Genomic DNA, 24,673 nt, shown 5'->3' on the forward strand with positions numbered 1-24,673 from the left:
AGAGCCATCTCCATCTGACAACAAAGTCCCCTGCATTTGCCAACCTTCAATTCGTCCATGTGACCTAATTCGTCCTGGATACTGAACAAGGACTCAGGTACCAAGAGGGCACTGAGCTGGTTAACACTTAAGCCATCTGCAGACAGCAGAGCTAAAAGAGCACTGTAACACACCCACCTGGGCTTTGGGAGTTGCAGGCACCCACCCCTAGATGCTACCATGGAGCCTGAGCCCAAAAGTGCTTGTCCTGGCTCTTGCACCTGCCCGTCTGCATGCTCCCACTCCTATAAGGGAGGTAAGGCAGCTGAACAGACAAGCCACACCCCTGTTGCATGTTCTGTGAGGGGGGTCAGGGAACTCTCCCATTTCAGGAAAATCAAGAGCAAGACAAGATGGTTGAACCAAGGATGAGATGAGAACCAAGGTCGAAAAGTGCAACTCATGGCTGGGCGCGGTGGCTCATGCCTGTAATCCCAGCACTTTGGGAGGCCGAGGTGGGTGGATCACGAGGTCAAGAGTTCGAGACCAGACTGACCAACATGGTGAAACCCTGTCTCTACTAAAAATACAAAAATTAGCTGAGCATGGTGGTGCACGTCTGTAATCCCAGCTACTCAGGAGGCTGAGGCAGGAGAATCGCTTCAACCTGGGAGGCAGAGGTTGCAGTGAGCCGAGATGGCGCCATTGCACTCAAGCCTGGGTGACAGAGTGAAACTCCATTTTGAAGGAAAGAAAGAAAGAAGAAAGAAAGAGAAAGAAAGAAAAGAAAGAAAGAAAGAAAGAAAGGAAGAAAGAAAGAAAGAAGGAAGGAAGGAAGGAAAAAGGAAAAGAAAGAAAGAGAGAGAGAGAAAGAAAGAGAAAGAAAGAAAGAAGGAAAGAAAGAAAGAAAGAAAGAAAGAAAGAAAGAAAGAAAGAAAGAAAGAAAGAAAGAAAGAAAGAAAGAAAAGAGAGGGAGGGAGGGAGGAAGGAAGAAAGAGAGAAAGAAAGAAGGAAAAGTGCAACACTCTTCAGTGTTTCCCAGGAAGAAGTTTGGGTATAGGAGTTTTGTAATTACAGTGGGAATGTTATTCGACTAGAGAGTTGCAACCCAGGGGTGGGGGCGGAAGCCCACTGAGGACCCCTAGGCCAAATCAAGAGTGAGGGTGACTCAGGTGACACACAGGGAGCCCAGTGGTCAGCTGGTTCAACCTAATCTGGAGAATGACTCAACACCAGGATGCCACTGCTGTTGGGGGAGGAGGAGGAAGTGCTAAACCCGCTTCAATATTTCCTGTCTTAAGCCCACATTGTTCTGGGGATTGAGATCTGAAGTTGAGGGGTTGGGGGTCAGTGAATCTGGCTATAGACATTGTAGATCTGCAGATGGAGGGCATGAAACAGGCTGAAACTGCTGCAATATGTACTCACCCTGAGGGCCTGAGGACCTAGATGATCATCTTAATTTAGATTGCTCCTTGGCCCACACAGACATGATAGTGCCTGCAGACAGTGGCTCTGGCACTGGCACCCATGGTAGCAGTTGGCCTCATTGTGATGGGAAAGCCTCCAGCTCCCTCCAAGATGCAGTTAGGGTTTCTGGTCTCATTCTTGGAAGAGTTTTGTTGGATGAATTAAACTGGAATCATCTTCCTTTCCCAGGAAACTGTTGTCTCTTTTGTCTGCTCTGCCTCTGGGTGAAATCTGTAGTCCTTACTTGCTGCTATTTTCTACCATCCTAATAATAGCTCATTGTTAGGCAGACATGACGCAAATACATTTCTCACTATCTTGGGAGATTTGGGGGGGGGGTCTTACCTTCTTATTTAAGTTCTTTGTTTAATTATTTAATTCTTTTCTTTTCTTTTTTTTTTTTTTTTAGTTTGTTCTCTTTGTTTGCCCTTAGTTGGTAAAGAAGACAAGTTGTTGATGAAGGAAACTGGCAAAATATCAGTACATCTTGAGTTCTTTGGTGATCTGCCTTTTCCAGAATCTTCTGATCTGTCCCTACACCTGCACAAAAAGTGCTTCATGCAATGAAACAGTCCTTACTGGGTGTCATAAGTGAGCTTACTAAATTTGGTGTGTGCCATCAATAACCCCTCACCTTTCCATTTGGGGTAGCATCTACCATCACCTCTTTTTTTTTTTTTTTAACTATCTTGTCTTGCCCTAGAACAGGTAGGAACATCTTATATTCAACAGTTTATCTTCATAGGTGCAGAACAAAGACAGAGATAGAAGTCATCCCTCTGCTCACCTGAGACAAATGCATATTTGACTTGCATTCAGAATCAGGCACATCCACCCCTGACCCTCTGCTGGGAGCATTTTTTATTTAAGATGTTTTTGGTTCATCTCTTGAACCTCCTCTCTACCTCCATTTATCCCTGAGTCCCACTCATACCCCTCTTCTTTATTACTCCCTAGAAAGGAAGTAGAAAGGCAAAAGACTTTTGTCACTGAGTCACTGAAAGAAAGAAACTTGATAATCTGGGAATTGAGGGAAGCCAAGGAAACACATCCTCAACCCTTAAGGTGAAGCTCCCAGTAGTCACCATTCCAAGAATGTGGGACCTCAAACTCAAGCACCTTTCTTGAGATAGAGTTAATAATGAAATCTGTGATTGGGAATGCATGTGTTTCTTTGTCTATCTCAACATTTTTTCAAGACCATTTTTGTAGCCATCCACAGCTGTTTTGCAGGTACAAAGAAAGGGGTCCTACTTCCCAGGCTATGGCTGTGAAAAGAAGATAAAATTTCAGGACCCCAAACTCACTATGCCAAAGGGGAAAAAAAAAGCTTGAGTCACCCAAAACTGCCTTTCATTTTGTTCCTAAATAGATAGCTACAAAGGTAGAAGGTTACAGGCCTCCCCAGGGGCCCTCCCTCACAATTCACTCACAAGAAAATTCTCTGTGCACCCCAAGATCTTTACCCTAAAACAGAGTTCTGTTGAATTTCACCCTGATAATGTAAATCAACAGCTTATCTTCATAGGTACAGAACAAAGACAGGATTAGAAGTCATCCCTCTGCTCACCTGAGACAAATACATATTTGAATGCTTCCTTTACTCTATGTTTACTTTATTTTACCTAAAAATGCAGATTCATTGAGCTGGAGCCAATGCATAGTTGACTATTCCTCTGTCCCCTCTTTTCACATTTAAAATGTGGATTCAGTGAACACGGATCTAGCTTCAAAAGAATGCCATTGCTTGCCTCTTTTATGTATTCTTCCCTTTTTATTTTTTCTTTCCTCTTTCCCCAACTGCTTACTCTTTCCCCTTTAAACGTTGAAGACCCCAAACCCTCTTTGGAAAAAGCACAAATCACAGGTGTTCCTTTTTCCTGGGTGCGTCCTCAACCTTGGCAGAATAAATCTCTAGATTGATTGAGTCACCTCAGCCATTTTCTTTGGTTTCACATGGCCAAAGCCTACCTTCCCTCTGTGGCCTTCCTTTGGTCATTAAGGATATTCTTTCTGCCATCAGGTAGGCAGGTGGTGCTACCTCAACCAGTGCCCATCTTCACATGGGCACCTCTGCACCTTACTCTGAGATGTGGTTGCCACTAAGCAAATAGGTATCCATTTGACTTTCAACTCTTTTTTTTAAATTAACATTGGCATTTTTAATTTGCTTTTTTCATTGACAAATAAAAAACAATATACATGTATGGGGTACAACATATATACATTATAGAACGGGGAAATGAAGCTAATTAACATACATTTTACCTCACACACATCATTTCCTGTGGCAAAAACACTTAAAACCTACTCAGTAATTTTCAAGTACACAATACATTGTGGTTAGCCACCATGTTGTACAATAGATCTCTTAAACTTATTCCTCCTATCTGGAATTCAGTATCCTTTAAACAATAGCTCCCTAATTCTCCCTAATTTTCAACCTCCTTTGTTCACAATGTCTTCAATTCTTCCTCCCAACCAGAAGGCTCTCCCCTCTCCATCCCTACAATCCAAATTCTCTGTATGATTCAGGGTTCAAAAGAGGTTCCAATCGTGCCGTGAGACTCCTCCCCCCACTCTGGTTCTTGCTGGTAGCTGTTTTAATTCTGTTCTCTAGCACTTGTTACAGTGATTCATATCCTGGATACGCATGTGAATCGCCTGTGGACTGTTTAAAAATGTAGACTCTGACTAGACAGACCTAATCAGAATCTCTGTGTGTGAACTGCAGGCATCTGTAGTTTTTACAAAGCTTCTAATGCACAGTGAGGGTATGAGAAAAACAGATAATATGTAAATGACTAATTTTAGTGTTTAACCATACCATGCCTGTTGCTACTTACCTGTCTTTTGAATATGTGCTTTTAACTTCTAGAAGACAGAAACCATATATTACTTTTTTTTTTTTGGTACACTACCCTTTCTTCCTACACCTAACCCACTCTTAGATCCAGGGCTGAGATGTTTCAATGAATATTTTGATATACATTTCTGCACATAGTAAAATCACCGAAGGGTTCAACAAACATTTTTGAATTATTTCACTGTGCCAGGCACTGGATCTAGGAAGATGAAAGCAACATGAGTCCTTTTAGACTAGAATCCATAGCTAACAGGTAAATGTTGTTGAGACTGTCATTTGGTTGTTGGGACACATATGGGGTCAAGAAAGCTTTGCTATGATTAAAATAATTGACTTTTGAAAGAGAATAGTGGAGGATGGAAGGAGCCTCTGGGTTTGCAAAGGATGAAGGTTTCAGAGTATTTTGAGGAGGTTCTACTATTTGTGCCATCATACATTCCACACCTTCCTATGCTGTGCAACAAGCAGGGAGAGGTTGTAAACCGAATACCTGCACATCTCCCTCCAAATGGCCACTCACTGGAAAAATAATCTATGGCTTTCCTGCTAAAGGAACATAGCGGGTGCATGAGGCTTATAAGAGAGAGCACATGCTATGGCATAAACATGGGCTGCATTCAGGTGTCCGTGGATGGTGTGTGTGCAAGTTCAGCTCTGCAGCTTTCTGCAGGCTGCTGGTATCTCCTTGTCCCATCCCTCAGCTCCTAGGGCTGCCCAGGCAATATTGGGAAAATCATGTGGGGCTTCTCTTAGGTGTCCCACTCTGTCCTTCCCATATCCATCTCCCCTGGAGTATTTTCTCCTTTTATTGCCAGATATCCCCAAAATCTCTCTTCTGTTTAGCAAAAACTTTGTTGTGTGTGTGTGAGTTGGAGTCTTGTTCTGTCACTCAGGCTGCAGTGCAGTTTTGCAATTATAACTCACTGCAGCCTCAAGCTCTTGGGCTCAAGGGATCCTCCCATCTCAGCCTCCCTAGTAGCTAGGACTATGGGCACCCACCACCACGCCCAGCTACTTTTTAAACATTTTTAGAGATGAGGTCTCACTATGTTGCCCAGGCTGGTCCCAAACTCCTAGCCTTGGCTTCCCAAAATGCTGTTATTAGAGGCATGAGCCACCGTGCCCAGCCCTAAAATCAATTCTTGAGAATGGACAGTATAACTAAATTTACAGAAAGGTGTACTTCACGGATAAAGCACTTGGATCTTACCCAATAAATAAGAAAAGTAACATTTATTGAGTTCCTAATGTGTGCCAGGGTCTACTATGTTGACGCATTATTAGCAAATTAAATAGGGAAGATGATTGGAGGGTTGGGGTCTCCTACACCTCAGCACCTGTGACACATAGATGATGGCTTCCTCTTCTTCCTCCTAAGATGAGCCTTGCCTGCTGCTTCGTGAAGGACTACACACTTAGTCTTGATTTCAGATCCCCTTCTGGGCAGATCTCAGAACCTCTCTGTGTTTGCTTTTTTCCTACGAGCAACTAGTTCCTTTTGTTCCCAACTCCTTTTCCAAGAGGCACAAAGTTACTTTCTAAACTAGGCCACTGGTTTAAATAGTAACCCCTAGGAAAGAAGAGTTTCCAATGAGTGCTGCCATCTTGACAAACGGCCTTGATTCCAATGCATCCTTCTACCTATGATCTGCATACATGCAATATCAATCTTAATTTACATGTGATTTCAATCTGTATGCAATATTACTTTGTATATGTAACATCACCCTTTTACATGCAATGTGGCAGCAATCCATTTACTCTAAGGGATCATAATGGTTCCTACCTGATAGTGTTGTAGTGAAGATTTAGTGAAATAATACAGGTAATGAACCTACAACAGGGCCCAGCATAGAGCAAGCACTCCACAAAGGTCCTCACTGTTGTCATCACTTTCCCTTCTGAACAGACTGTTGATAGTGTGATGTTCCTCAGACTACCTTCATTAGCTCCAACCTGCCCAATATCCTCCATCCCTCCCTCTACCCACAGACTCTCCCTTCTTCCTCTTTCCATAGAGTTTCTATCAATGGTAGTGGTGGTGGTAGTAAGAGCAGAAACAGAATTAAGAATAAATGGAAAGGTATTTCATGTTGCCTAGTTAGCCATAACTAATTATAATTGTTTCCTTAGCATCAATAAACATGAAAGACTTCTGGCTGTAAAGGCATGTCAGGCACTGCTCCAGCTGGAGTTTCCAGCCCTCTCCTTGCTTCCTGTCACATATAACTGCAGGCTGCCGCTAGACACTGTGGCTTCTTGTTAGACCTGCTTTGTGTGAACTTTGCTGTCATTGGGAATTTAATCATCTTTCTGAGGCAGGGACCACTGCTTTGTTAATCTGAACCAAGTTGTGATGTCAGAAAGGAAAACTACCAAAGTTTGGTCCCAATGTTATGAATAACTACTTAAGGTGCTCTGTCTCTGTCTAAAGAAAGAAAAACACAGTGATCCTAAATGTAAGTAATTCATCATGACATAAAGAGAATTAAAGGAAAATTAACTTTGTAGCATAAAACAGCAGTGACATATAAACCTACAAAACGAGTAGAAAAGATACTCAGGTTAAAATTATGGGTTTAGAGGAGGTCCATGGAGTGAACTTAAAATAAATGTATAGTTACAGAAAGGGTTGAGAATCTCTCAGGCACTTTAGCCTCTGGCTGTCCTAGACTATGGGATGCTGTTTATGTTCTATGCTAGGACAAAACCAAACAGGCCCACTGGAAGCAAGCCAGGTCACTGGTGATATTCCTAGGCCTGGCTGCAGGAACCTTTGGCGGATACATGCCCTTCCTTTGTTTGGAGAAAAATGTTATCCTCTCTTACCCTCTGCTCTTGACTAAACAGATTCTATACCATCATCCCCTTAGGAAAAATGGGCAGGATCCAATCCCAGTTTTCTGTCTGTGTAATGCAGGCATTAGGAGCCACTGGGCAGCACAGCCTAGCGTTCTCATTTTCTTTTTAATATAATAGCTTTTTTGCAAAGAACGTAAAAGCAGTTGTGCAGCTACATTTGGCTTTAGCAAAAGGAGAAATCTGTGAAAATTTAAAAATCAACACAGAACAAGGGGGACTTTATTTGATTTTTAAAGGATTGTTGTCAAGGTACCTTGTATCTGGGTGGGAAGAAAGAGACTATCAGGTTTAGGCTGAGAGTTACATTTGACTCTGCTTAGTGGGGCTTCTGTCCAATTTCTTAATACCCTGGTGTCAGAGAGACAGGGGCTCCCCTGAGACAATTTCAGGTTTGTTTGGTGCTTTGAGAGGCCAGGCTGGGGAGAGGTTCAAGGAGGTGCCTGTTACCACCAATAAGAACAAGGGATGCATTTCCAGGGGCTTGGTTTGGAGTTGGATGGAGTCTACCTTCCACAGGGACACTGGCTATTTGGGGACAGATATAGGCTACCAAGGTCAAGTGCTTAATCCTCAATCCAACACTTCAATGCTTCTTTCAATAGACCAAATTTCCTCATACTCACCCAAGTACTTCCAGATTTAAGAGGGCACTAACATGTAGTGTTAGTGAACCCAATAATATGTATATTACTATGGATGGATGGAGGAATGTCAATGCCAATAGCTAGTCACAGGACACAAGTTCTTTGCTAGTAGAGTTAGGTGAAAAATAATCTAGGCTCATGAGTGTCAAATGGGCCCAGCTAGTGATTTAGGGTAGGTCATTGGTGAAATGGCAGGTTTGAGGGATTAAGTTCAGTAGATTCAGGATGTTTTCATATTCATGCAGGAAATACATAAGAGGAGAGCACCAGGGATGATTCTAAGTGTTACACATGGCACAACACCCAAGTAAATAGATTGAATTAGTGATTTTAAAACTTCTCACCAAAAAAATTCATGCAGGGGAGTTTCATCTTCTCACAGGCTGCCTGGATTCACCTGAGACAGGGGGCAGGCTGGGAGAGGGCCATTGAGTTTTAGTGGATGGAGTCTATAGCTTCTGATCTGACTCTCCACTGAGGTAGTAGAAGTCTTTGGTGCCCAGGAAATTAGAATGAATGGGAGATGACAAGGTCATTGTTGAGACTGTTTCCTGTGCAGGGATCAAGTTACTTTAGAACCTGGATCTCTCAGAATGAATTGCTCAGGTCTCTGAACCTCAAACCAAATAGATGAGCTTTATATTTAGGCTGCACATTTCAAGATTGAAATCAAAATTGTCATTTTGACTACAGTGTCTCTTACCTGGAGCTATGGCAAACAGGAAGGAAAAAGGTGATATGGGGCTTCACTGGAGCATCTAGAAGAGTAAGAAGAATGACCACTCTCATTTGACACCTTTATAACAGCTGCTGTGTTATGATTAGATACATCAATACGATGAAATATTTCATCTTCTTATGAGGTTCCCAGACTTTTTCAGTTTTGTTAAGAAACAAATAATCAGAATAGTTAAATAACCCTTCCAAAGCAGGTGACAGAGCCAAGATTTGAATCCAGGGTTTAGATACTACAGCCCATCTTCTTCTTCTAGAGCTACCAAGGGATTAATAGCATATCACACCTAGGCGTGCTATGGTGGGAAGCAGAATGCCAGGGGAACGTGTACTTCATTCAAGTCATTGCAAATTAGTTTATTTGGGTAATCTCTTCTGGCACATCATTTAGCAATAGCAGAGGATTTAAATTAGATTTTCTTTAAGGGGATGTCTATGACCAGATTCTTGCTTGAAGACCTTCAAGGCAGGCACTAGTGGTGGGGCCTGACATCTACAGCATGTCCTTGTGAAGGAGAATCTGAGCTGGCCCCTCTACCTTCTGAGTTACTATGCTAAGAAGGGAAACAGACAAACAGCAGGAGGTTGCAGTTCCCAGAAGAGGCATTGTTCTTCTTCAACCACCTCTGCTGTCTGCCCTGTTACCTAAACAAGTATTACTCCAAATACCTGAAATAGTCATCTTCCAGGAATACACCTGATACTTGCAAAACAGGACAGGCTTCTGTCCATAGGACTTCAAGATGCAAGTAGGTTTTGGGTTTTCTCTGCATGCCTGATTGGTGCTTGTTGTTTCCCTAACACCAGTTCATTTTCTGATTCTTTTCTCTTTGGCCAAGTGCCTCCTTTTCACACTGTGTTAGTAACAACCATTGGGGAGACCAGTGGCATGCATGGCTGGCTTGCATAGATCCCACTCTTCAACTTCATGTTCGAGCATATGCCATCTATTACATCTCCCCATTCTGTGAGTGATGTTGCAATCAATACAAATAAACTTCAGGGGCCCTCGGCTATAGGTAAACTGTGCCAGCATAAATCGATGAGGTGTTGAGAAACTCTATGTCACATACTCTGATGCTCTGTAATTCTACTTTTCTGGCTACCAGAGCCCTCCCACAGATTCCAGGGCTTGGTTCAGAAATCTCCCTGCCTTTCCCAACTTGGCTCACAATGATCCCACCCAGAAATGTGGACTTCTCAGGAGAGACAATGGAACAATGGGAACTATGAGGGCTGCGTTATTCTCACTATTTGACTCAATCTGAACTGTGTCCACTGTAACAGTTAAGGTGTAGGCAAATCTCTCTCAAAATCATCCCTGGACCACCAGCATCAGAATTAGGCACCTGCTAAAAATGTAGATCCCCTCAGGACCTCCTATTTATTCAGAATTTCTGCAGTCAATACCCAGGAATCTGAAGTTTAGACAAGCTCCCTGTTGTGTCAGTGCCCCTGAAGGAAACTGATGACACACTCAAATTAGGATAATTTTAGGAGGGTTTAATAAAGGGACCATTTCAGAGAGGTAGTCGGGGTAAGGAGAAGTCACAAGTGCTGTGCGCTGTTAACAGCCTAGGTGCAGCTATGCAGGGGCACGCGCGGCAAATGGGTTACTGGAATCTGGAGCAGAGGGACTGTGGGAAGGGCCATAAGATAGGATGTGCTTGGAATTTTGCCATGGAGGGACTCAGCCAGTGCTTGATGGCCCAATAGGGGTATAAGGACACCAACCTCACTTTGCCAATCTTCTGCAAACCAGAAGCCAGAGGCAAGAGAGCCTGTAGTTTTGCTACACAGGAGGCAGCCCCCTAGGGCATGGGGCATGGTGAGAAGGACCGTGAGTGGCTCTGCAGGACAAATGGAGACTGCCCAGCCTCTGACTCCCCCACAGCAAACCTTGAGAACCACTGGGCTAAACATCTTTCTTGTCTCCAGCCGATGAAGGCCAGTTTCAGTTCATAAGTAAATGAGACAGAGGGTGAAGGGGAGTAAAAGAAGAGGTGAAAATGGAAGATCCTATTACGGGAAATCCAGGGAAAGCCAGAGATCCAGGAAAAGAGGGTGAGGGAGTTGCAGGAGTGTGAGCAAGTCTGTACTTCACTTCCCTGGTGTGCTCCAAATTCCCCTCATGCTGCCCTGCACTTTTGGTCACCTTCCCGTGTGTGTGTGTTTGTGTGTGTGTGTGTGTGTGTGTGTGTGTGTGTGTGTGTTTTTCTGCCTCATTTTGCTTAGCACGTTTTCCCTAACTCCCCAACCTAGCGTGAGACTCTTCTTTTCAGTGCTCTGGGAACTGGAGGCAGCATTTTGTGTGTTTTAACTTTCTGTGGTCTCCATGATCTGCTACAAGTGGTTCCCATGTTCATGGGCACTTTTTCAAGACTTCATCTGACTGTTTCTGGAAGAGTCTGTGACTACAGTAGTCCTTCCTTATCCACAGTTTTGATTTCTGCAGTTTTAACTACCCTGCAGAACAGTACAACAAGATATTTTGAAAGAGAGAGAAAGACCACATTTCCATAGCTTTTATTGCAGTATATTGTTACAACTATTCTAGTTTATTGTTGTTAATCTCTTAGTACACCTAATTTATAAACTAAACTTTATCATATATATACATGTATAGGAAAACACATAGCACATAAAGAGTTTGGTACTATCAGCAGTTTTAGGCATCCACTGGGGTGTCTTAGAATATATTCCCCATGGATAAGGGGGCACCACTATACTTTCTAGCAAAGTTGTGACATTGAACAGAGAGGTGAGACACCAGTGAGAGCTACCAGACCAAAGGTGAGTGTTGGGGGAATCCTTAGAGAAAGCTCATTTGACACTTTTTAAAGAGTTTATTGAGGAGCTTGTTCAAATTCAAGATTAACTAAATTGTCTCAAATTACATGTTTTCAGACCAGGGATTGCTGCCAGCTCCCTAAAAGTAACCATTTATCTTATGGGTTTTTAGCAGTTCATATTGTGGAACTGGTCCCAAATCCTACCTTCATGATTTTTTTAAAATATGGAACACTTCACTAATTTGCATGTCATCCTTGCACAGGGGCCAATGCTAATCTTCTCTGTATCATTCCCATTTTAGCATATGTACTGCTGAAGCAAACAACGAAAAAACTATGCATTTTTTTTCAGTAAGAAAAATGCATACTTTTTTCCTTCTTTGATGACAAATTTTGCCCTCCAACTATATTTTCTTTGTTACACACAGCTACACTTTGCTATGCCCCTTCATCCTTCTTGTTGCATTAGATTCCATGTAAAGCAAAGAGAATACAAATTAGATGTATCTCCCATCTACCTGGGGAAGTCTGACGGCAAAGCATAAAATCCATTGACTTTTCCCCTCTGTTTTTAACTGAAAATGGAACTCAAATCACACCCTAAATCCATCCATTTGTTCATCTAAGTGCATACGCATTTCACCATAAAGACTCAAATCCACTGGGGAAGAACAAACAGTAATAGTTTACATTTACTGAGCATTTACTACATACCTGTCATTATTCTGAATGCTTACTATAGATTATTTTATTTAATCCACACGAGCACACTATGAGGCAGGTACTTATTATTGCCGCTTTTCAAATGTGGAAGGTGAGGCACACGGCAGTTAAATAACTTGCCTAGGCTCATACTCCTGCTAAATCTTACAGCCAGGATTAAAACCAAGGCGGTCTGACTTCAGAGCCTGTGCCCTGAACCACAAAACCATGCTGCCTCTCTGAGTATGAAGAGTTTCTATACTTAAGTTTGCGCCTCTGTTTCCTTTCGTTATTCATTTTTTATCAACAGACATTCAGAGTGTCAAGCGCTGGTGGCGAGAAGCTGAATAAGACTGCTTCTCCTTTCGAGCAGGAACATGGGAGGTCTACAGAACAGGGGAGTGACAGATCCCTGCAATATATGTGAGAGGCAGAATAGGAGGTAGGAATAAAGTGCCCTGGAAAGACAGAGCAGGAAGAGACATTTCAGGAAGTTTTTGGAAAACTTCCTGGATGAGGTCACAGTTAAGCCTGTCAAATAGCAGGTACTTAATAGGTCTTTTGAATGAATGGCAATAGAAATTCATCAAGAAGAGAAAATGATGATAAATAAAAGAAACACCAAGGGCAGATAGTGGCTCTTGACTTTGTTCCCCATTTTGAGACCCCATTTGTGTATAGCAGGTGGGCAGCAGAATGGGAGTTCTTGAGATTTAACTCTCGTGAGGTTCCCTGGGTCCCTGTGTGCCTGAGTCAGGACCTAAATGTGGCTGAGAGTCCAGCTCACCGGTGGAGGGGAGGAAAGGTTCCTTTTCTTTGCACATCCATCGCTAGGTTCATGGGTAAGGTGCCCCTTACGAAAGACAGATTTACAAGAGAAAGGTATACAAATGTATTAATGTAAGTTTTATGTGGATGGAAGCCTTTGGAAACGAAGACCCAAAGAAAGAGAGAAGCTTGTTTATTTTTATGCTTGGGTTGATGAAGAGTGGATAGTCATGGAGAAATATGATTGGAGGACAAAAAGGTGTGATCTGATGGTAACAACCTTGGGGGAACTTAGCAAGACCTCCTTGTTCAGATTCTTCCTGGCCTCTGTGTCTTTGAGGATAAGGATGTTCCTTTCCTCTAGGTATAGAGATGGCACCTTTTTTTTTTTTTGAGACTGAGTCTCTTTCTGTCACCCAGGCTGGAGTGCAGTGGTGTGATCTCAGCTCACTTCAACCTCTGCCTCCCGGGTTCAAGTGATTCTCCTGCCTCAGCCTCCCAAGTAGCTGGGACTACAGGTGTGTGCCACCACGCCTGGCTAATTTTTTGTGTTTTTAGTAGAGACAGGGGTTTCACCTTGTTAGCCAGGATGGTCTCGATCTCCTGACCTCATGATCTGCCCACCTCGGCCTCCCAAAGCGCTGGGATTACAGGCATGAGCCACTGCACCCGGCCTGAAGGCACCTCTTGAATGAGGATCTTGTGGTCTCTTTCAGGTGGTCAGAAAATTCTGTCTAGGTTTGATAGTCTGCTTTAGGGGAGAAGGGCAAGAGGAGGTCAGAGAGTGTCCTTACTGCTTCTGCTGTTTTCTAAAATGCCAAGGGGCCATATTTTGGAGCAGCCTGTCCTGAACTCCAACAGCAAAGGTAGAACAGGGCAGAGTGATAGCCTGGTCAGGAAGTGAATGAATGGGACTCACAGCCACACTGATTGTCTCTAGTGACACCAAGAGCTCAGGTGAGGCTAAATCAGCCAGGAACCCCCAGGGGCCCAAAGAGGATGGTCAGGAGTAGGAGGAAGACATCACAAGTCATAGAAAAGAGATAGGAGGGCCGTTTTCTCTGCATATGCCAGTTATAACAGTTGAATTTGCACTCCCCAGTACTCCTAGAGACTCTAACATTGTGAGAAAGCCAATTCTTTCAGAATGTGGAAGACTCGTCAGTTGGACCTGCCAAATCCACCTGTATACTTTGCTATAGTATCAGAAATGATTCTTTTTTATTTTCTCTCTCCCCAAGGACCAAGATGGATTTCCAGCCTGGATGTTTTGGCGGGGATTCTACCCAGCGGTGGGGGGAAGAACCACGTGCCCTTCCAACCTTGCGTCAGCAATCCCATGAGGCCCGCCATGAGTCACTGCCAGTGGCCCAGACTCAGTTGTGTGGAGTCTCACACCCTGGGGCGAAACTAGCTAAGTTCATGGGTCTTTCCTGTCTGTGTTCTCAGTGACTCACCCGAAACAGATAATAACAGTGAGGTTGGGCACACCATGTGACTGGTGCCAGCCAGAACAGGTCATGCTGTTAACCCTTGGATCCCAGGCCACCAACTGCTGACTCCCAGGCCCTGGGACAGGCCCATGACACACTTGAGTGGTATCTCCTTCCTATCTCTCTGGGATACTTGGTCAAGGTTTCAGTTTTGGAAATATGACCTTCCCTTGTAAAGGATCTCAAACTTGGGGTGGTTACTGATAGAGACTGCATCAATAACTATTACCCAGGAGGGGCCCATTGTCCTAAAACACCACCAGAGCACAAGTGAGGAGTTTTCATTCATCAAATTGGGTGTTCTTCAAAGTTTGCCAAGGTGCAGATCCTGACCCCTTTCCTGGTTCTTTCCATCAGTTGGGTGATTCCCAAAGTCTGGGGAAAGAAAGAGAAAGGAGGAATTTAAGAATGGAACAGATGATTTCTCCCACCTCAGACAAGCAGACTGTGAGCTCACCGTGTATCTTAAGTATTTGTGGGCAGGGTCCCAGGCAGGACTGTAACATGTCAGCATATGACTTAAAGGCTTGGTGACAGAACAAGGATCCACCCAGCTCAGCTGCCCTGCCAGGGTGTTCTCATTGCCTCGCCAGCTTCAGATCACTCCCCAGGGATGCTGCATTCATTATGAAAACCTCTGGTCAAGGTTGAAAGCCTGCAGGATATGTACTATGACCTCATAATTCACATGGGATAGTCCAGAGGTCTCTAAGACTCTCCAAAATATTATTATGATGCAACCTTTACCCCATAATATGTGACAGAGCATAACTCAAAATTTAAGTGATCCTTTGCTGACCCTTAATGAGGTTAAAGTGAAAAAACAAAACAAACAAACAAACAAAAGACAAGATGAGCTGAGATGCTGAGGCTGGGCAGTGATCTGAGTGCTGAGGGTTGCTGATTCTTCAAGATACACATTGCTCCAGGTCATGGGGCAGGGTGTATATGTACATATGTGTGTGAGTGTGAGAGAGTGGGGGACTGGGTAGGAGACTGGAGTAGGGAGAGGGATGGGACATGTTGCTATGGAGAGAGAGCAGTGAAACAGGCAGTACGAAAGAATACGATCATGTCAGACAGTCGAGGATCTGGGTCTCAGCCCTGACATTCACTACCCAGGTGGCTTTGACAATTCATGAGTCTTCTCTCTTTCACCTGTAAAGTGGGGTAACAAAGGTAGATTTGTTAAGTGAGGAGATAATATGTGTAATTGCCTAGGAGAGTTCTAGTCACATAGCAGATCATCAGTGGAGGTCCACTCCAATGATGACTGACAACTAGCTGAGAAGTGAATGAGCAAGCCAGGCCAGAAAATTTTATGAACAGTGAAAACTGCAGCCCAAAGTTCTGTGTATTTCTCAACAGGAAAACAGCTGTATCCTATTTTATGGTGTACAAATACTTTCACTTATGTCACCTCATTCTTCCTCTCAGAAACCCTCTAAGGAATTTATTGTAGTGATGAGGAAACTGAGGCCCAAGACCACACAGTCGGCAAGGCTGGAACTGGACCCTAAGTCCTATGCATCTTTATGCTACCCCATGAGGGAGCAGCTGCAAGTCATGAACACACGTCCATCATGCAGCATCATGGGTGTGGCACCCAAAGGATGAGCTGGAAAATGAAACATTATAAAGATTTTGTGTTAACTGCAGAAACTCTAGAAACCAGGCATTGATTCCTCCACTCCAGAAATATTTATTGAGGATCTACAATGTGCTGGGCACTGATCCCAATGCTGAGGATATGTCAATGAACCAACTAAACAAAGCCCGGATTCCTAAGAGACAACAGTAAACAATAAGCATAGTAAGTGAGTAAAGTGTGTCGTATTTTAGAGGGTGTTAAGTGCTTTGGGAAGAGGAAGGAGTAGAGCAGAGTAAGAAGGATCTGGATTGCAGGCCACAGGATGGTTGCAATTTAAAGTAAGTTAATCCAAGTCAACCAGACTAGGGAAAAGATTTAAGTTGGGGGTCAAGGGAGTGAGGAGTGAATACCCAGAAGCAGAGTGTTCCAGGCAGAAAGGAAAGTCAGAGTCAAGTCCTAAGGCAGGCAGATGCCTGGCATATTTGGGGAAACTTCAACACCCAGAGCACAGTGCTGGCACCATGAAGATTGATGGATTGATTATGATGGTGGATCACCAGCCCACAAGCTCAGTTTTATGGTTTCTAGAAAGTCTATTCAAGACTACAAGGCCCTTCCACTGATACACTCACAAATCTGAGCCTCTTGGGCCAGTACATTGAATGAGATAGTATCGTTTTAGTAAGGATTCTTTTCTCTATCAAGGGAATCTTTTCAATAGTGAATTGTGTTCTTGTACTTAAAATATTTCATCTCTAAAGGTTCCATTGATGTCTGACTCTGCAGAAATGACTTGGTGGTATAGACAGGACCCTGATATAGGGATCTCTATTGATGACACTTGACCTGCTGCTGTTTAGTTATATGTTCCATAAAGGCAGCCCGTAGGTCCCATCTCTTTACTCAGGCACTGAAGTGTTCCCTGCATCTGGCGCCTCTTGTCCCTACATCCTTACCTCCTCTGCTGTCTTTTACACATCCCTCACTATAAGTCAAGCTAGAAACCTGTGCTCTCCAAATCCTGCCAGAACTAATTCAGAAGAAAAACATTTTATCGCATAAAAGTTTGTATATAACAATTAAGCATGCATTGAAATCTATATTTGCATTTAATTTTCTGATAGCTTGAAAACTAATGTAAAACATTTTTAAATCTTTTTAGCAAATAAAGTTTGCCCCAGCCCCCTCCAGACAGTGTGCCTTTCCTGGTGTTACCTGTCTCTCCTTTCTTTGCCGTAGATTACCCATACTTGGTATCAGTTACCAGTGTGTCTGCATAAGAAAAAATTTAAATAAAAAGTGTGTGCAAACATTGCAAAACAGTTTTCATAGAAAATAAAATATTTTTAGAGACAAGTTAATGCTTCCCAGGATTAACAGCAGGTAAAATTCTAGGAGACCCCTGTCTCTTTCCCCCAAGCAGAGAAGGTCACTGCTAAATATCACTGGCAGGAAGCTCCTGGGCTACAGCACACTTTGCAAACTGCAAAATCACAACAGCAGAATTCCTGGTGTTTGTACTATAATTCTGGATATATTTACTTGCCATATTTTTTAGACTTCATCTAGTCTTTTTCTCTTTCTCTGTCTTACACTGGCATTTTTCCTCTTAACACCATTTGAGGTGAGAAAAGTTGTAAAAAAATAATTAAAGTTTGAGTCTTGGTTCTTCTCATCTTTAAATGGATAATAATAACAATAGTAATAATAGCAACACTAATAACAATAGCAACACCAATACCCATAGCAACACCAATACCCATAGCAACACCAACAATCTATAAAAGACTCTAGGCAATGACTGAAGTGATAGTATTGGAGAGACAAGCTGACATGCACAATCCAACTATAAGAAGAAAAAAACTGAGGAGCGTAAAAGACAAACCAATCCATAAAGTAAATTAGACACTGATTTTTAGAATACTCTTTACTTTCAAGTCTTAGTTTCATGCCTCTGTTAATTTTACTCTATGTTAGATAAAAAGTAAGGAGTTTCTGCAGTCATAAGAGTGTACACGGCCAGGTGCAGTGGCTCACGCCTGTAATCCCAGCACTTTGGGAGGCAGAGGCAGGCAGATCACGAGGTCAGGAAATTAAGACCATGCTGGCTAACATGGTGAAACTCCATCTCTACTAAAAATACAAAAAAAATTAGCTGTGTGTGGTGGCAGGCACCTGTAGTCCTAGCTACTCGGGAGGCTGAGGCAGGAGAATGGTGTGAACCTGGGAGGTGGAGCTTGCAGTGAGCCGAGATCACACCACTGCACTCCAGCCTGGGTGACAGAGCAAGACTCTGTCTCAAAAAAAAAAAAAAAAAAAAAGAGTATGCTCTTTGGGGGGTTCCACATATCATTACTTCCTTGCAATGTCAATGATTCTGGAAAAAGTGAGAAAGAGATAGTGAACAGGGTAATGAGAATAAAGGAAGCTGGACCTAAGAATTAAGTTCATCACCCAATAAAATACTTTACTTTTAGACTGATATATAAAAAAAATTCCCTGAATTCTCAATAGGCAGTGGCATTCACTGTATTAAAACATCTGAAAAAGTGTGTGTGTGTGTGTGTGTGTGTGTGTGTGTGTGTGCTCCTAGTTACAAATTATGCAGGAAAAGCAATTTTCCCTACTTTCCCCTACTTTGGGGATGGGATTAAGTCTAGAGTAAGAGACAACTATTTAAGGCAAATAGTTTTATTGTAAAATTAGGATTATATGGTTCAGTAAGGGCAAGAAATAATTCTGGATTTGAGATGAGGGAGAAAAGGAAATGGAGATTTACACACACACACACACACACACACACACACACACACAAAGCATGGTCCTTGATTCTGCCCATCTCCATCCCTAACCACATCTACCTCATAAGACAGTGGGTCTCAATTCTTTTTCTTTTTTTCCGCGTAAGTACAAAGACTGTGCATAGATCCTGGGCTGTAGAGCACTCCAGGAACCCCCAGCCATGCAGCTTGGAGGGGCCTGGGGCCTGAAAGGCAGGGCGATCAGAGACACTGGAAGAAAAGCCAGCCAATGAAGAAAGGAAGGTAGTTCAGATGATTTTTTAAATTGCACACTAACTCCTCCAGAGGAAGAGAGAGTAGAGAGAGAAGCCTGGGGCTCAGGAAGAAGGAGAAGAAAGAGAAAAACCTCCCAACCAGCAGATGTATATATTTTCCCCCTGTTTATTTTTTTCTAAGTCCGGTTGCAGGAAAAAAAAGCCCAAGCTATAGTTACTAATATGTAAGACATGACCCAAATGCAGAAATCTTCCCTTCATCATAAACCAGGTAAGTATAATAATAAAAACAAAGCACTTAGAGGTTATGGGAAGAAAGTATTTCTGCTTTCAAAACTTTGATTGGAGAACTTTATTTGAAAAACAGAGCTTTTAAATTATACTTTGTTTATGACATTTGGTTTATTATACTTTCTTCCACTTATGCTAGATTGTAGCCGGTCAGAGCCAGTGTCCCCAGCAATCCTAAGTAGCTAACCATGTTCACACTGAAAGCATTACACACCATGCATACACAGACAGACACACACGTACACACATGTACATATGTACACACACATACATCCAGCCATTCTTTGAAATCCAGCTCTTATCCCTCCACATCCTTTTTGAACACTTCCTGGGTTTTCAGCCTGTGTGATAATGAGAACCGTACCATGTTACTTGGTTGTTTATGAGCTAGTTACTTCTCTGGAACTATTATAGATTCTGAGCACCTTGAAGGCAAAAATCCCTTTGTACTCCCTGTCTCGCCTTTCTGTCTACTGCCCTCTACTCATCATAACACAGGTTGAGCACCTAGTGTGTAATGTAATCGCTTTGTAATTGTACAGACAATAATAGAGACATCACCACTAAGCTTTATCTTCCTCTGGTAGTAGGCAAACTCCATGACAAGATCTTTTACTACCTCTTTATTTATTTATTTATTTAGTTTTACCACATGCATCTTTTTAAAGGCAGTCCTTTAGGATACTTCAAAGAAATCCCTGAGTACATTTTACAAAAGTTTGCTCCCTGCCCACCCTCACCCACCAATGCAACACAACTTAGCAAATGCAATTTCTCTCCAAGTATAAACACTCAGAGGGGACAAGGAGGGGATTCAGTTCTCCCTGCAGTCATCCTGCCTGGGGTGGAGATCTGGCCCTTGTGGCTTTCATGATGACCACCACCTGCAGCCTAACCATTTGGGGCACACAGGAGAGGGTGGCTCTTTCTTGGGGAGATCATTGTTCAAAAGCCCCTCTATACCGTTTGTCTCTGCCGTGTTGCCTGCCAGAAGCAATGTCTGATGCCTCCACTTGGCAGCCACAGGCTGTGAGGTCATCTTTTCACCACTCGCTGTTCCTTCAGCATTTAAGCTCTCTGGCAGTGACTCAATGTTTACAATCGCATTAACCTGTGAGGAACGCCGTGGCTGTGTCGAAGAACAAGGCCCCTGCTGGCACCAAGGTAACTGTGGACATGTTCTTGGGAAGAGGTGAGGGGAGGGGGCAGGGAGCCAGGCACAGTGTGGTGGGATACCTGTGTGTGGGGAGCTCTCTTCCGCTCTTGGCAGGACATCCAGTTCCCAAAGAAGGAGAATGACCCGTCATGCTCAGTCTAGTTTGTGCTGTTGCTTGGAGGAGAATGACCCATTGCTGTCTTGTTCACAGGCCAGAGTGAGCAAATCCCCCATGCAGCCAATACACATGCGTAAGGGAGGCACAACGACATCCATGCAAAAGGAGCCTCTCGGGTAATGTTACCCTTTAGGGGCCCAAATAAAACATACATGCTGAAAATCAATCTCACTCCTAGAGTGGGAAAAAGCAAGAGAAAGTGCTTTCTGCTATGGAGGTGAAGACACACAGGAAGCATAGGCCTGAACAACTCAAAGGAGTCCTTCAAACTCCAGAGAATAGATGGTCGTCAGCAAAATGCTCTAACAGTTTCTAAATACAGTGAGCTCACAAATTTAATTCTCAACATGACTCAAATGTGCACACACAGGAGACACACTCTTTGTTTTGTCTGTAAAAATGATGGGTTCTTTCCTGAGGGTTCACTGACTGATTGGAGTGGGGGAATAATTTAGAGCCCCACCAATTTCAAGCCTAGTTGCATCTAATCATTTATACAGCCTCTTTAATGAATGTTTAGCCGTGGGCAAATGCTGGGCTTTCAGATAGCTCTGCCTTCTTCCTCCCTTCCAGGGAGGGAGGTGGTATCGTTAGAACTGGTATCTAAGTAAATGATGCTACCTTCTGGGAGAGGGGAGGGCTATGGGTCCTCCAGCTTCTTTGGTTCCTAGACAACTCAGTGGTTGCCCACTCTGCTGCCATTTGTGCACATGCATTAGGCTGAAGTTACTCAGCCCCTGAGGACTGTTTTTAGGTCCTGACCATGATATATAGGAACCAAGGGTAGCAACCAGAAAGCTAAGCTTCAAGGCTTCCAGCGACCAGACCATCCAGTATGCCCAAGCTGACCTTGATGGAGCTGCACCCAGGGAAGGATGAATCTGCCTTCTCTCAGGGTGCATATAGGGAGCAAACCAAGAGTCTCACAATCTTAAACATTCTAGAGTGAAAGTTTAGTTCTGAAGAAGGTGAGAACTCAGAGTGACAATGTGATCATCTAGTCCAGTGGTACTTCAATACAACTTAGCAGATACTTTACAAAAAATGAATTTGAAAGCCAGTATGCCAGACAGATAAAAGTAGGTCCCTTTCTACTTATTGAGACCCATAGGGAGGGACCAGAACTTTGCCCAATGTGAGCTCCAGGGCTTCACAGATATTTTTCTATGGAAATCACCAATCTTTTCCAAACTCATCATTTCCTAGATGAAGAAGCTAGGACATAATTAATTGAAGTAAATTGTCACAGAAATTGCAAATGGGAGAGCCTAGACTCAAAATATTTCTCCAAACTTTCTACTACATTATACATTTCACATCCCCAAAAGTTTAACTTGATCATAAGGACTAGGTGCTGTTAATGTTCAATTTCAAACACACATTTTGATGCCCCCAACGTCAATGGCTTCTACTGGCGAAAAACAATTTATTATCAGAAATAAGTCATTCTAACAACCATACTTAAGTGCATAAAGAGTGAAAAATTCTGACATGTTTCATTCTGACTAGTCTTTACTTAACAACTTTCTTATGTCTAGCCCTAATGATACATCCCAACAATGTCTCTAACATATAGTCATGTTAAAGTCACAGAAACACAAGCAGGCATTGCCTACTCAGCACTGTCTACTCTTCTTTCTGTTTAGCTTTGGTCTATTCTAATGAATACACTATTAAGAAATAGATGAATAAACCTCAGTATGTTAGCGAACTGTTTTACATACTTGCTGAAGTAAAGCTTACTTGGGATTTATAGAACAGAGAAGCAAGTAAATGACTTTAGGCCATGATTAGAATGCCCACAGAAAGAAAACAAGAAGAAACATATTTCAAGAAGGCACTGAAGATAAATGTATCAAGCACTTTGAGCCCCGTATCAAGGCAAGTGGCATTCAAACCTTCAAAACCCTGGCCAGTGTGAATGAGTGGGACATTTATTGCATGGCTGATAACTTATAAACACACTTTGTTGCTACACAAGTTCAGGCAATTACTGGGCAATTATACCAGCAAGCCACCTAGTAATTAAAAAGATGGAGTCTTGGGTGGGCTGCCATTTGGGCAGCAGTGGCTTCTTTCTTACTTCATTGACATGATCACATTCTCTTGAGAAGATCAAATGCCTTCAGAAGCCAGTAGATAGATGACCCACTTGTAAAGCAACTGAATTACAAGAAGGAAGACGGCTCTTATTCTGAAGTGGTTCAAAGCAGTTCTTCCTTAGTTAAGAGAAAGGCCATAAGTGACCAAGAAACCATGTCTGCAGATGCCTAAGCCCAGGGTGCACATGTGGGGTGAACATTTATGTGCCAAGTGTCTACCAAGTGCAAGGTATATGAGTAGTCTTGCAACAAACAAATGACCCTTACACGAGATCTGTAAGGCTCTGGGCATGAGATTGAGTGTTTTACATACACCATCTCATTTAATCTTTACAACTAGGCTGTAAGGGAGGAATATATTATTATTATTTTAAAGACAAGGCTCTTTAAAGAAAAGCTAAATAACAAGAGCCCACCTTCTCTCTGCTAGTGAATGGTCAACTTGGGACTTTAACCCACATTTTCTAACTGCAGATTCTGCTTATCCGTTTTCAGTATTTCCTTTTTCTGGGAGGAGGGAAGATTGAAAAAAATTTAAAGATGTGATTCTAGCCTTCCAAGAGATGACTGAGAGTGAAATAACTCTGGAACAATTGGAAGTAGATCATGAGCCAGGGCAAAGGAATATAATGTGGATTAAAGCACCAATCAAGAGTAGAGGGCTAAACACATGTGTTCTGAATGTACACAGTTAATCCAGAAGGATGTCATAAATGGGTGTGAATTTTGAGTCAGGGTCTAAAAATTATGAATGACTATTTTTAACCTCATCTACCGCAAGTGTTTAATTATGTTGCTATACTTCCATCAGCCTACCTCTGTGACTATTGGACTGAGAGTTGAAAATATATTTTTCTTACCTTTGAAAATATGAAGTGTTGAAAATTGCTGACAGGTGTGATCATGTTTTGACTGAAAAACCAGCTGGTTTGGTTTGGGGCCTGATTTCAGGTGCTTGATAACTAAAGCCTTACTACATTTCTTTTCCTTATTATTTCAGAGAGTACTGCCAAGCTGGGAGACAGTGCTGTTAACAGTTATCAAGTTCTGTATGAGCCTTACTAGTATGGAGACAAGTAAACCAGGCATAAATGGTAGACATTTGGACCAACTTTAACAACTAAAATATGTACTCATTTCTGGTCCTAGAAACAATTGCAAATAACAGGAATCCAGTTTCTATGAGTGTGAAGAATCCTCAGGTTGGTTGAATGAGAAATTTCTTAACGTCAAGTACTAGAGTGGGTGATGAGATACAGAAGGAGGGCTACAGAAAGAGACCTGGTTTTACCTGTTACCAACAGGTTGGCTTTATCACTCTATCCTTTACTATTTGTCTTTACACAATTAAAATAATACAATGTATTTGAATGTGAAATGTATGCAAAAGCACTTTGTCATTTGAAAAAATTCTACAGTCATAAGATACTGTTATATTAATGCCCTAGGTCCTTGGTATACAATTCCAGGTCAGTGAAATTCACATACACTTGTAAAAGTTCAAATATGTTCTTACATATTTATAATTACTGTCTTAGTCCATTTGGGCTGCTATAACAAAATACCATAAATTGGGTGGCTTATAAACAACAGAAAATTATTTCACTCAGTGCTAAAGGCTGGAAGTCCAAATTCAAGATGCTGGCAGAGTCAATGCCTGGTGAGCCCTGATTCCTCAGAGATGACGTCATCTTGCTATGTCTGCACATGGTGGAAGTAACAAGGGTCTCTCTGGGGTCTTTTTTTGGTAAGAGCACAATCCCATTCACAAGGGCTCTCCCCTCATGAGCTAATTACTTCCTAAGGCTCCACTTCCTGATATCATCACCTTAGAAGTTAGTATTTTAACATATGAATCTGGAGGCGGGGCACAAACATTCAAACAACAGCAATTTACTAATAACCATAATCCAGAAATAACATATTATTTAAAATAATGGATTAATATTGACAGTAAAAATATTTTTAAATCTCTATATAAATTTCTAATTGGTTATCATTGCTCTAGAAAATAATTGTTATTCACAA

General features: G+C 42.5%; 2 long non-coding RNA genes and 1 pseudogene across 2 annotated transcripts in view, besides 4 other annotated features; 1 reads left to right on the forward strand and 2 right to left on the reverse strand.

Moving 5' to 3' along the window:
• Positions 1 to 1,898: 1,898 nt before the first annotated feature.
• LINC01655 (long intergenic non-protein coding RNA 1655) lies at positions 1,899 to 14,899 on the reverse strand. The gene is made up of 4 exons (NR_125989.1): positions 14,769 to 14,899; positions 14,541 to 14,686; positions 8,525 to 8,579; positions 1,899 to 1,989 (listed from the first exon to the last, which is right to left on the reverse strand). It is a non-coding gene; the product is annotated as a long intergenic non-protein coding RNA 1655 (long non-coding RNA).
• Positions 10,432 to 10,638: a silencer, noted in NCBI's record as "fragment chr1:222009541-222009747 (GRCh37/hg19 assembly coordinates)". NCBI's record gives its function as "represses an EF-1alpha promoter that drives an FKBP-Casp9 reporter gene in an ReSE screen in K562 erythroleukemia cells {active_cell/tissue: K562}" and the evidence as "EXISTENCE:reporter gene assay evidence [ECO:0000049][PMID:32094911]".
• On the reverse strand, positions 11,567 to 11,670 carry RNU6-403P (RNA, U6 small nuclear 403, pseudogene; annotated as a pseudogene).
• Positions 13,584 to 14,783: an enhancer, noted in NCBI's record as "P300/CBP strongly-dependent group 1 enhancer chr1:222012693-222013892 (GRCh37/hg19 assembly coordinates)". NCBI's record gives its function as "activates an origin of replication core promoter dependent on BRD2, BRD4, P300/CBP, MED14 and CDK7 cofactors, with strong dependence on P300/CBP, by STARR-seq in HCT116 cells {active_cell/tissue: HCT116}" and the evidence as "EXISTENCE:reporter gene assay evidence [ECO:0000049][PMID:35650434]".
• Positions 13,600 to 13,679: an enhancer, noted in NCBI's record as "active region_2571". NCBI's record gives its function as "activates an Ori minimal core promoter by ATAC-STARR-seq in GM12878 lymphoblastoid cells {active_cell/tissue: GM12878}" and the evidence as "EXISTENCE:reporter gene assay evidence [ECO:0000049][PMID:35858748]".
• Positions 14,050 to 14,099: an enhancer, noted in NCBI's record as "active region_2572". NCBI's record gives its function as "activates an Ori minimal core promoter by ATAC-STARR-seq in GM12878 lymphoblastoid cells {active_cell/tissue: GM12878}" and the evidence as "EXISTENCE:reporter gene assay evidence [ECO:0000049][PMID:35858748]".
• A 5,262-nt stretch (positions 14,900 to 20,161) lies between the features above and the next one.
• Positions 20,162 to 24,673, forward strand: part of LOC124904517 (uncharacterized) — a 72,424-nt gene continuing 67,912 nt past the window's right edge. Inside the window, exon 1 of the long non-coding RNA XR_007066885.1 lies at positions 20,162 to 20,373. This is a non-coding gene — a long non-coding RNA (uncharacterized LOC124904517). The remainder of the gene's footprint in view (positions 20,374 to 24,673) is intronic.

The sequence above is a fragment of the Homo sapiens genome, chromosome 1 (genome assembly GCF_000001405.40).
Source record: "Homo sapiens chromosome 1, GRCh38.p14 Primary Assembly".
Lineage (NCBI taxonomy): Eukaryota > Metazoa > Chordata > Mammalia > Primates > Hominidae > Homo > Homo sapiens.